This window comes from Homo sapiens, chromosome 8 (assembly GCF_000001405.40).
Source record: "Homo sapiens chromosome 8, GRCh38.p14 Primary Assembly".
Lineage (NCBI taxonomy): Eukaryota > Metazoa > Chordata > Mammalia > Primates > Hominidae > Homo > Homo sapiens.
Genome location: NC_000008.11, coordinates 116,275,110 through 116,288,561, shown reverse-complemented (window position 1 = coordinate 116,288,561; position 13,452 = coordinate 116,275,110). Strand labels below are relative to the sequence as shown.

The window sequence follows — 13,452 nt, the reverse complement described above, 5'->3', positions numbered from 1 at the left end:
AAAGTGGAGTGGGGGATTTTGAGTTCATTGTTTGGTTAGAAGCTTCAGGACATTTCTAGCACAGCCCCCACCCTCTCTGAGTTCCTGTCTAGTAGGAACATTCCCATTCACTGTACCACATGGCTACTCTGTGTTCTTCATGTTCTTCACTCACTTTGTCCTGCAATACCTCTTTCTTTTTTTTTTCTTGATGGAGTCTTGCTCTATTGCCCAGACTGGAGTGCAGTGGCATCACTGCAACCTCCACCTCCCGGGTTCAAGTGATTCTCCTGCCTCAGCCTCCTGAGTAGCTGGGACTACAGGCAAGTGCCACCACTCCCGGCTAATTTTTTGTATTTTTAGTAGAGACAGGGTTTCACTGTGTTAGCCAGGATGGTCTTGATCTCCTGACCTCGTGATCTGCCCGCCTTGGCCTCCCAAAGTGCTGGGATTACAGGCGTGAGCCACCATGCTTATGCTTTCTTCATCAAAACTTGATCTCCGACTTTCTTGATTCCTTGCTTTACTCAAATACATAAATTAAACAGCAGAGTCATTGGTTCACTACTCCTAGTTGCCCAATTCTGTGGGCCATGAGGAAGTGCTGCACTACTTTCTGTCACTTTGGCCTGACGAGACACAATTACTTGCTATATTTCTCCAATAGCATGTTATTAATAAAATCATGATCTTCCTGATTATGTCTATAAGCAAGAAGGATATTTGAGCAGCAACAGAACATAGTAGATTTTTAAAATTTTAATTTATAGACTTTTTTAATTTTTAAAATTTTAATTTATAGACTTAGGTGCACATGTGCAGTCGTGTTACATGGATATATTGCATAGTGGTGAAGTGTGGGCTTTTAGTGTATCCATCACCTAAACAGTGTACATTATACCCAGTAGGTACCCCCCTTCCACTCTGCCACTTTGTGGAGTCTCCTGTATTTATTATTTTACTCTGTATTTCCATATGTACCCATTGTTTACCACTTATAACATGCAGTTTTTGACTTTTTGTTGCTAAGTCATTTCACTTAGGATAATGGCCTCCAGTTCCATCCATGTTGCTGTAAGAGATATGATTTCATTCTTTTTTATGACTGAGTAGAATTCCATGGTGCATGTGTGTGTGTGTGTGTGTGTGTGTGTATATACACACACACACACACACACACACATCTAGATATATAGATCTATACAGATGTATGTGTATGTGTATACATATCTAGATCTATACATATATACCCACATTAAATCCAATCATCCATTGATGCACACTTATGCTGATTCCATGGCTTTGCTATTGTGAATAGTGCTGCGATAAACATATGAGTGCAGGTATCTTTTTAGATCAAATGATTTCCTTACCTTCAAGTAGATTCCCAGTAGTGGGTTTGCTGGATTATAGTCCTATTTTTAGTTCTTTGGAAGCCTCCACACTGTTTGCCATCAAGGTTTCAGTAATTTACATTCCAACCAGTAGTGTATAAGTGTCCCCTTTTCTCCATAGCCTCACCAACATCTGTGTTTTTTTTTTTTTTTACTTTTTAATAATAGCCATTCTAACTGGTACAAGGTAATATTTTTAAATCAGAAACATGTTTCAACATTCCTGTTCAATTCTCCTCAGATATTAAGAAAGGTGATCACTGTAAATGTGCCAGGGCTGTGACCATCTTCATTCACTTCATCTGCTGTGAAAGGAGAGGCACAAAGTGTGATGACCACAGCATAACATTCCTTGAAAAGTGACATGCTTAATCCTAGAAATGGGGGATGTGCATTGTCCTTACTAATGGAAGCATGTCTCTATGGTGACCCTGGTGAAGGGAGGTGGCTGAGGATGGCTGGGGAAGTGTCTGAGTATTAATGCCTCAAACAAGCCTGAAGAAATGGAATGATGCCCCAGTAGCAGACACTTGGAGCCAATCTCAGTCAGAGGAACAGTGTGGTGCAAGTTCTGAATGGAAGATGCCTCAAAGGCCTCTAGGAACAAACAGAATTTCCTCTTCTATAAGCCCCAGAGATTAACAGCATGCCTGGATCAGTAGACTGGGAGCCAGAGTACAAATGTGGGTCTGGCATTGTCATTCCATCCCTGGTGATTGATCTCTGTGATGTTCCCTTTGCTGAGATGGCCCCTAAGTTAAAAGAGGCAGAGTTCTTTGGACAAAGACTCAGCTTCACCAGCACCAGGTATAACTGGCCTTTGATATGGGGGCAAATCTGAGTTCATTCTCACTTCATCACCTGCTGGCTGTGCAGCTTTGAAAGCATTCCTTAACCTCTCTGTGCTATTGTTCCCACTTCTGTAAAGTGAGAATAATGATCTCTGTGTACTAGGCTTGCTGTCGTCGTTAAGTCACAGGGAGACAGGCTCTGTGTTTGACCCTCTGCATTCAAATCTTAGTTCAGCCATTTGTCGGCTGTGTGTGATGTTGGCATCTGTCTCTAATGCTTAGTCTCCTCGTGTGCAAAAAAAGGAATGATGACTATATCTCAATTGTGGGGATTTTGCAAGGATAAAATGTACCAGTGCATGTAATGCTTTAACCCTGGAACTTTTTCAGCCAACGCTCAATAAACCTCAGCCGTTATTAACCCAAACAATATTAAGGGCTGGACTTATAGCCAGTGCTTACTACAGGTTAGTTTTTCTATCTTTAAAATATTCTCCATTCAGGAGCTTATTTATTTATTTATTTATTGCCTGCTAATAAAAACTTTTCTGACTAGGGAACTTCTTATAGATGCTAAGTTTGCCTTTGCTTAAGAGAATACATACTTTTTCCCTTGAAACTTTGTGACCCTTTTTCTGTGGGAGCCTCAGAGGTCAGCATCATTTTGGGATATGGAACTCTTTGTCCTAGATATTCTCGCACAAAAAAGAGGACAGGCCATGACTGATTTTTACCAGCAGTTAAAGAGAATTGGCACAAAGATTTGGGAGGTACGACAGGAAGAAGCATAGGCTGGAATCAGAAGAGATGATGGGTGGAATCTCAGCATCACCCGCTTTTTAGCTGTATGGCCTTAGGCTACATTTTTTTCTTTTTCTTTTTTTTAATTTAACCATCTATTTATTTGGAGAACTATAATGAAAATAATGCCTATATGAAAGGCTGATCAAATGAAGTCATTGATGTGAAAAGTTCCTGTATTCTGCAAACTATAAAGCACCATCCACAGACATTGGAGGAAATAAAAATCAAAAGGAAGCTATTTCTGTAACTTTAAGTTTCCAGAATAGAATAATTTTGGAGATAAAAGGGCAAATAAGCAGCATTGTTTTAATGAGTTGTGGTAGCACAGCAAATTGCTTGTTTAAAGGAATTTTTTTTTTTCAGAAAGCAAGGGCAAAGATCAGAAAAAAATAGGATTTAAATTTGGTTACTGCTAAAACTGCTTCTATAATTAAACCTTATATTATGATATATTGCATTTTAGAGACAGATCATGGGCAGGTATTTGGAATTTAGCGCATTTTCAACATTCCAAATAGGTCATACTATAAAACTTTAGGTACACAGAAGCAGACAGTGAGGAATGACATTTGATGTGGATTATTCCCTGTATGATGTCATGGCTATGGAAAAACATAGCTACATAACATTTCATTTCTTAGGTTGAGGGTATATAGAAATTGTTGTTAATAGCATGGGCTTTGGGAGTGCAGTAGACATTTTGACGCCTGCCAAATATTTTCAGGATTCCATATCCTGGACATAGAGTAAGATTGCAATTCCTGTTCCCTTTCCATTTGCCCACATGATTTGTTTTGTCCAAAGAGATGTGAGGAGAAGTTACTCTGGGCCACAGAATTTTAATGCATTGTTTTAGCAGCGACTAACCTAACTTATATCTTCTATCATTCTATCAATGATAAAAGAAAATAAAGCCTTTGGGAGGCTGAGGCGGGCGGATCACGAGGTCAGGAGATCGAGACCACGTTAAAACTCCGTCTCTACTAAAAATACAAAAAATTAGCCGGCCGCGGTGGCGGGCGCCTATAGTCCCAGCTACTTGGGAGGCTGAGGCAGGAGAATGGCGTGAACTCGGGAGGCGGAGCTTGCAGTGAGCTGAGATCGTGCCACTGCACTCCAGCCTGGGCCCTGGGCGACAGAGCGAGACTCCGTCTGAAAAAAAAAAAAAAAAAGAAAGAAAGAAAATAAAGCATGTTAATGTTGATGGCATCTAAATTGCATCCAAATACTAGGATCCTATGATTCTAATAAAATAGTAATATTAAAAAGAAATTTTATAAGAGACACTCAGAGATTCATTTTCTTTCATATAAAGAGATTGACAACATTGGAAATGGTGGCTGCTCTGTCAGCTGAGACTCTGAGTAACCAAGAAAAGCAGAGAACCCCTGCTGAGGTGGGATGGACCTCTGGTGTAAGGGGAAATGTACCTCTATGATTTTAAGCCAATGGGCTTTGGGGAGTCATAACCTCACCTATCCTGACACAGAGACTGACAGATGCATGTTTGGATCTTAATTCACCCACATGCTGTGTGACCATGGGCACATGACTTAGCTTTTCTAAGCCTCAATTTCCTCATCTGTATTACGATTTTATTTGTAGATTATAATAATGCCAAACTGATAGTTTTGTTGTGAGAATTAAATAAAGCAAGGTAGGTAAAGTACTTAGGATAGAACCTGGCATGTGGCAAACATTAAAAATGCATTTCTTTTCATTGTCACTATTTTATTAGAATGATAGGATCATAGTATTTGAATACAATTTAGATGTCATTGACATTAGCATGAGTTTTTAAAATCATTGATAGTAGATAGGTTAGTCAGCTGCTAAAACAATGTTCTTAATATGTAGTGAATGACTTCTTCTGAAATTGTACGATAAACTTGTGTGAATAGTGTTCCTAGCGTCCATCAGATTCTCAGTGGAGTTCACCCCCAACCAAGTGTTGAGCATCACTTCTATAAAGTCTCCGCTGATTCTGATTTTACAATTTCAAATGCCCTGCTATCCATCCACTAATTAGAAAAGGAAATGAAGTTAGCTTGGCCTGACCTTTTGCAGATTGCCTGTTCCTTTCCCTAATGGCCCTGGGTGTAATTTCTCAATGTTTGGAGGTGCCTCTCCCTTAGACAGCAGCTGTGTGACTACTGCTGCTGTAGGGCATTGCCTCATAGCATCTTCCAGCATTGGCTGTCTTGAGGCAGGAAAGCGTGTAGACAGCATGCTGGATAACTGGGGCAAGAGTGTCTGGTAATAAGCAGGAAGCAGAAACTGAGGCATTCTCAGGAAGAGGTGACATCAGGGAGGAGTAGATGATTGTAAGGAACATCTCAGAGAGGGTTGGATAATGCTGGTTCAATTTTAAATTGGCACAAAACCAAAGATGGGAAGTAAGAAAGTATTTTAGGGAGGGGTAGGTGTAGGAGTAATAGGTGGAGACAAGGCTAGGAAGATTCTACCAGCGGTACACCCACTTCTGTGAAATGGAGCTGGAAGGAAAGAAGGTGCAGTGAACTAGATAAGGTGTGTGATTAATGCCCCTTAGGATGACAGTGAGCGAACAGATGTGTAGACTTGGCCTTATTTGCTATAGAGGGAGATAGAATGGCCTTCAGGTTGCAGGATGAAGGTTACATATACGTGGAGAGAATTAGCAGAGATGGAGATAGTCACATGGCAGAGTCTTTCATTTGACATCAGTTTTTTTATTCTCCAAATATATACTAAGCCTGAATTAGATGCACTAGTTACTCTGCATCTGAAGTGGGGAAAAAAGAAGACCCCATCATGAAGGAACTCATATTCCGGTTGGGGAATACAACAAATCAACAGTGTCATTCTGTTTGATAGGGCAGATAATTCTGTTTTCTAGCTGATATCAGACATTACCTGATTTGCATCCCCAATTAGGAGTGTTTTTCTTGTTCCCCATTCTGTCAAGATAGCTGCTAAAGCTCTTTCATATTTTCATAAACATGTTTTTGCAAGCTTGGGCCTTGCTTTTTTGTTTTCCATTGAAGCCACTCTTTCAGGCCTGTGTGGACTCCTTTAAAAAAAAATTCTAAGCTCATTTAAAAAAAACTAGAAAAAACACTCTTCTTTAGATGTCTCCACCTTCACTTCCACTTGAAAACATAAGTGATTATGTTGCCAGAATTTTGGTTTTTTTAATAGTCTCTCATTTATCCCCTTTGGAGCTTCTTTCCTTTGAGAACATCAACCCAGGAAATTATACTCAAGTTTTCTCTAGGCATTTTGTTAAGGCCCACACTCATTGTTATTCACATTTAAACCCTCAATTGAAATACTCTTGTTCCTCCTTGTCTTTGCAGAGTGCTTTATGTTTTCTTGAGTTTTATTACTTTTATGACATCTTAGGTAAGGCATTTTACAAAAGAAGAACTTGAGATCTAAGATACAGACTTGGCTTTGTTTCCTGGGCAACAGCATCATGGATTGTTAGGAGATATTAATGAATAGCATCAATGACCTGGCCCAATTTCTGGTCGTCTGTGTTTGTAAATATCCACTTCTCTTTGATGCTTTGAAGGATAGTGGTATGAGAACTGCATATGTATAAGTTCAGCTATGGATATGAACAGATAGAAAGTCCGGCATGAGGAGGTAACCGCTTGAGCTAACTCTGACCCGAAGCTATGGATATGAATAAAGAAAAATGAAGGGCCTATTGAAATAATATTAGTACTGGTGATAGAAGTAAAGCAGGCAAGCTGGCAGGATCCATAGCAAGAACTATTGTTGCTCAAGTAAACAGGCACAACTAAGTAATTAATAACACATTCTCATAATTGCTTCCCAAATGGCCAAGGCATTTGGTTTTCTAAAACAGGATTCTGAGAGCTCTGATATATGTGTTCCATGACATATATTTGCTCATATTTCCCTCTCTCCCTGCCTTGTCTTTGAACTTCTGTACACAGAAAATTGTTTCATTTATTCTCTTTGTCTCTCTGTTTTTGGTGTTTTATTTGTAGCTTCTTCTCATCTCTTTACCACTTTACATGCCTGTTCTCCCACTTTGGACTTTAAAATTCTCTTTGTCTTTTTGCTGGGTCAGACTTCCATCCTTGTGCAACCTTGTGTCTCTTCAGCAAAAGCCCTCAGATTTCTACAGAGAGAGGAGTCCTATCAGATCCAGTAAGGAATCACTGGAACCTTGTGGGCCTTGAGGTTTGAAATGACTTCGAACCTTTCAGGGATCAATTTTTGTGTATGACTTGCCAAAAGGTTTTTATTTATAAGAGGGGGAAGGCATTTCTGCACAAAAGCTCAAAAGACTGGGACATCAAATAACTCTTACAAAACAACATTTTGATGAGTTAAGTGTAAATGAATCAGAAACATATGGATTGAATTTCCCTTAAAATACACATGGGTTTAAAAATTAAGGGGAAAACTGCTTGGCAAAGTTCTCTTTGGGTTTGGCCAAGTCTGATTCCTTTGAAAACTAGTTCAAGACATGATGCCAATCTCAAAATGCTTCTGGGTTCACACATCTCTGGTTCAAAGTGCTCTCTTCTCAGAATCATCTATTTCCCCCACTTTGTTCACTGTTGTCAGGACTGTGTTCCTTTAATAATCCTAATCAGAGTGACATCTAAGAACAGAAAGTTTATGTGAAAATCTCCTATTCAGGAACTGGTAATTACCAGATCTTTGTGGAGTGCATTAAATAGGCACATTAAGATTCATTGACTTCTCAATCATTTATTGAAAATCTATTATGACCAGGCACCTAAATAGCAAAGATGAGTCAAGTGTGGTCTCCTTACTTAGGAAATTCATAGTCTTTGGGTAAATCCGACTTATATTATGATAGAAGGCAATGAGAGATAGATGAATGTCATATGGGCCAGAGTCCTGGCGGGTCACAGAATTTACTCCAGATGGTTCATCTAGCTCTTTCTCCTTAGTGGCTTTCTATTTCACAGGCTTATGAATTTGATGATGAGTCTGCTTGCAGAGATGCAGATAGGGTTAAGGAAAAATTAACGCAAAAGACTATAGCAACAGTGGGTAACCATTGTCACTCTAGGGCTAAAAGAACAATGGTAAAATGGAGTTATTAGAGCCCAGGGAGAACCGGAACCGAAAGAGAGGCCACAATTTGGGACCTGTGGCCATGGATGGATGCAGCTACTGTCAGAGACACAGCATTAGGGCAGGAAGGGAACAGGAAAGAACTCAAAGGGAAAATCTGTGATGCAGTCAGTGGCATTGAGCAGGGCATAGAATTGGCCAGGAGATGGCCAACAGAGAAACTAAGGTTGATCATCATTGGCGTTGGTATGCAGTTGAAGGAGAAATCATTTCTGCCTTTGTGACTGAGTATGGCAGTGTAGATAGAGCCTGAGATGCCTTAACTGCACTTTGAAGAATGGGTTATCAATGTGTTAAGTGAATTTTGAGGGAGCAGAAGCATTTTAGGTGCAAGGTATGACATAAGAGAGTACAAAGCACAAAGCATGTTGGAGAAAGGTAACTAGTCCGTATTTACAAAAGGACTAGTTTGATGAAACTTGAAACTATAAAAGGAAGATAGTTGGAAAGCAGCCCCAGAAGAATTTAAATGACATGCTAAGATTGTACTTTATTTGCTAGATAAAGTGGAGCCACTGATGACTTTTGAGCAGAGGTGTAACTAAACCAATATAGTGTTTTAGGAATGTTAGTCTGGTAGCCTGTGTAAAATAGATTGAAAAAGGGGAAGTTTGGAGATCAGGCAACTAGAAGGCACTTTTTATAGTTCAGATACTAAATGCCAAGGGCTAGATGAAGGTGGGAATATAAAAAGAAGACCAGATTCCCTTTTGCTTTACACATCAGAATTTTTAAATTTTAAATAAGGCGTGTCTTCCCTATTTTTGAGGCCCTAGAGTAAATTTCTCTGTCCTTTTAAATCAGCGAATACACATAGAAAACTTAGAAGAGGGCCTGGAAATTTAGAAGCACTCAATCAATATTTATTATTATTGTAAAGATTCTTATTAAACATTAAAGTCTGTTCTGTAACTTATTTTAAAGGATCATTCTCCCCCAGCAGCCCCAAATTTTGGTATAACTTGAAACTAAACATTAGAATTTTTATAATAATAATATATGCCATATTTAAAAATCAAGCAATACTATAATGTGTACACTAGAATACAGCAGTTGCTGGCCCAGTCCTTCCTCACATCCCAGTTGTATCTTTCCATTGGAAACCATTTTTAACTCTTATCTGTTCCTTCTAAATACTATCCCTATACAAGTTGATGTCCTGATTAATCTACTTTGTACAATATTTATTAATTTCTTGATGATCAACATTTTAATTATGTTAAATCATAATCAGTAATTGTATCATCATAATTTGTAAATATTGTTTACTGCTGAGCCAAATAGTGTACCAGAATTTCATCTTTTTCTTATAAAGCGCTTTGTTTTTCCTGGAGTGTCTAACTGGGTCAGTTTTTGCTTGCCACAAAATTTTAATCATTTTCAAATGCTCATCATATTAATTGTTCTATAGAATTTCTCTTTCTCCTACAATCTACCTTTCAGTGTCTCAGTCCTCCTTCTCCAACTGGACTGGGTTTTATCCTAAGAATTCAGTTTTGATTTTTCTGGGATGGATTCTTTGCCTTCTTTTTCTGAAATTAATCCCCGTCCCCGCCCTTTCTCTCTTATTTTACTGCTAGAGCACTAGGACCAAAGTCCCAGCATTAGGACAAGTCCTAATGGGCTTACCAAGAAGAGAACATGGTAAGTTAATTTTCTGCTTATCTGCGTTTATTCTTTCTATTCTACATTTGGATAATAGCTTCATTGACTTTAGAATGCTTAGTCAATAACTTCCCTTTCCCTCTGAATTTTGAAGACAGTGTTGCTGATGAGAAGTCTGATGTCATTTTATTCTTGACTCTTTGCACTAAATCTGATTTTATTTTTTTTTCCTCTGGAAGTTTCTCAGGTATTCTCTTTTAGCATCCATGTTATGAAATTTCATAGTGATGCACTTTGTTGCAGGTGTTTGTTCACTCCTTATCCTGAGCAGTCAGTGAGTCTTTTTCAATCTAGACATTTTGTGTCCTTCAATTCTATGACATTTTCCTGTGATAATTTTCTTCCTTTGTTTTTCCATTCCTTCATTCTGGGATTAATATTAATTAGATATTAGACCACCTTCATTAATCTTTTAAATATTCCACCTCTTAGATTTTCCTGTATTTTTATTTTTTGGAAATTTCTTTTACTTTATCTGACTTTTTACCTTTCAAACTTCCTTTTAAAAATAGTATTTAAAATTTTGAGAGTGGTTTCTTGTTTTTTCAAATTTTTCCTTTCTCAAAGTATGTTTTTCTTGTGTAAGAGAGAAAAAAATTATCATATCTCTCTGATACATTAAAATCTTTTAAAAAGCTTTTTTCTCTCCCTTGATTTATTTGTTCTTCTATGTTTGCCTCCCTCTTTCATTTACTACAGTTGCCCCTCCTCTTTTTTTTTTTAATATAGGAGACTTTTCTTAAGTTTTAGCTGATTCATTCATATTTAAGACTAAGACATTTTACATTGTAGCCTATCCATATAGTGGCATACACCTCAGACATAAAAAAAAAGAATATATTACTCATACAGGGAACACCATCAATGAATCTCAATACCATTATGCTAAGTGAAAGAATAAAAAATACATACCGTACAATTCTAGTTATGGGAGATTTTTGAAAAAAACAAAACAAACAACAACAAAAAAAAACCTCTAGTGACAAAAGCAGATTAATAGTTGCCAGGAGCCAGGGACTAGAGGAAAAATTTGACTGCAAAGGGATATGAGGCAACTTTTGGGGTCATGAAAATGTTCTGTATTTTTACTGTGGTAGTAGTTATATGATCATATACATTGGTCAAAACTCATCACATTTTACATATAAAATTGATGAATTTTATTGTATGTGATCCCTCAATAAAACTGATTTAAAAAGAAATAAATTGAATTATTTGGGCCTGGAGATTGTTGAGTTGTGATCTTTTAACTGTACTTACCTTATGGGAAGCCATCCATTTCATTGGGTGTATCCTACAAATGGCAGTATGTGGAGGTCTTGTCTCCATAGCTGTTGAGTATTTTCAGAGCAAGAAACAATTGACTGGTATTTTACATGTGTCCTGCTATTCTGTATATAGATTTCCAATTATTCTATCTGTTTTAATTATTACCACTTCTCACTGCGTCCATTGTTTTTAAGTCTTTAGATTTTTTTCTTTTAATTTCCTAGATAAGCAATTTAAAGGCAAACCTAATTTGAATCTTGAGATATTTTCCTAAATCTGTAGGTAGTATAGATTTTCCATGAGGAAACAAAGAAAGAAATTAAAAGCTGAAGAAACTGTGTATCTATGTATATATCTTTTTATTTAGGATTTCACAAGCTATGGGATTGGGCTTTGAAATAATTCTTTTTAATCTCAGGGATTGCACAGACCTTTGCTGACATTTAATATTCGTGGAATGCACACGAAGAAGCACTGGCAGTATCTAAGAAAACACTTGCCTATGTTACAGTTTTGGGTTTTTTTTTCCCCTAGGCTATTATGTCTTTAAGATATTTGTGAAAATTATCAAATACTTCAAAAAGAAAAAGGTACAAAAAATAACAGCAAACTTCCATGGATCCATTACTCAATTTTAAATGATGCTGTCATTCACCATGTTTTCTTCAGAATTTTCATAAGATATAAAAGTACTTTAGATCTAGTTAAACCTCTACATAATTCATTAGTCCCTTTGCCTCACTTCCCCATTCCTCTGCCAGAAGTAACCATCCTTCTGATGCTGGTGTGACATCTTCTTATGGGTTTTGGTACTTTACAATAAATTATTAAAGACATGAGTAATGCATCTACCTTTCTTTTCAGTTTAAAAATGTACATGAATAACATCATAAGGTGTAATCTTTTGTCATTTGATTTTTTTTTATTCAATGTTGGTTTTGAATTTTTATCCTTGTTGATAGAACTAGTTCATTCATTCCAATAGCTGTAAAACAATCCATAGAATGAATACACCAGGGTTTATTATTCATTCTATTTATGTTTTTCAACTTTTATTTTAGATTCAGGGGATACACATGCAGGTTTGTTATCAGGGTATATTGCATGATGCTGAGGTTTGGGTATGAATGAGCCCATCACCCAGGTATTGAGCATAGTACCCAGTAGTTATTTTTTCAACCCTTGCCCTTCTCCCTATCTCTTCCCTCTAGCAGCCCCCAGTGTCTATTGTTGCCATCTTTATGTCCATGAATACCTAAGGTTTAGCTCCCACTTGTAAGTGAGAACATGTGGCATTTCGTTTTCTGTTTCTGTGTTAATTTGCTCAGGATAATGGCCTCCAGTTGCATTCATGTTGCTCCAAAAGACATGATTTCATTCTTTTTAATAGCTGTGTAGTATTCCGTGAGGTATATGTACCACATTTTCTTTATCCAATCCACCACTGATGGACACCTAGGTTGATTTCATGTCTTTGCTATCGTGAATAGTGCTGTGAATAACATGTGAGCATGTGTCTTTTTGGTAAAATCATTTGTTTTCTTTTGAGTAAACACCAGTAATGACATGGCCAGGTCAAATGGTACTTCTGTTTTAAGCTCTTTGAGAAATATTCAGACTAATTTCCACAGTGGCTGAACTAATTTACATTCCCACCAGCAGTATATAAGCATTCTATTTTCTCCACAGCCTTCCAGCATCTATTGTGTCTGACTTTTTAACAATAGCCATTCTGCCTGGTGTGAGATGGTATCTCATTGCAGTTTTGGTTTACATTTATTTCTCTGAAGATTAGTGATTTAGACAATTTTTTCATATGTGTGTTGGCCAAATGTCTGTGTTTCTTGAGAAGTGTCTGTTCATGTTTTTTGCCCATTTTTAATGTTTTTTGTTTGTTCAATTGTTTAACTTCTTAACATCAACTGTTTAAGTTTCTAACAAATTCTGGATATTAGACCTTTGTCAGATGCATTGTTTGTGAATATTTTCTCCCTTTTTGTATGTTGCTTGTTTACTCTGCTGATAGTTTCTTTTGCTGTGCCAAAATTCTTTAGTTTAATTAGGTTCCATTTGTCAATTTTTATTTTTGTTGCAATTACTTTTGAGGACTTAGTCATAATATTTTTCCCCAAACTCGTATCCAGAATGGTATTTCCTAGCTTCTCTTCTAGGATTCTTATAGTTTGAGGTCTTACATTTCAATCTTTAGTCCATCTTGAGTTAATTTTTGTATGTGGTGAAAGGTAGGGGTCCAGTTTCATTCTTCTGCATATGGCTAGCCAGCTATCCCAGCACTATTTATTGAATAGAGACTCCTTTCCCCATTGCTTATTTTTGTTGACTTTGTCAAAGATCAATTGGCTGTAGAAGTGAACTTTATTTCTGGGTTCTCTCTTCTTTTCCATTGATCTATGTGTCTATTT

The 13,452-nt window shown here is 37.3% G+C and overlaps 1 long non-coding RNA gene across 1 annotated transcript in view; it reads left to right on the top strand.

Moving 5' to 3' along the window:
* The window catches only part of LINC00536 (long intergenic non-protein coding RNA 536), a 374,549-nt gene that overhangs the window by 36,498 nt on the left and 324,599 nt on the right, over positions 1-13,452 (top strand). The gene's annotated exons all lie outside the window — the stretch shown is intronic.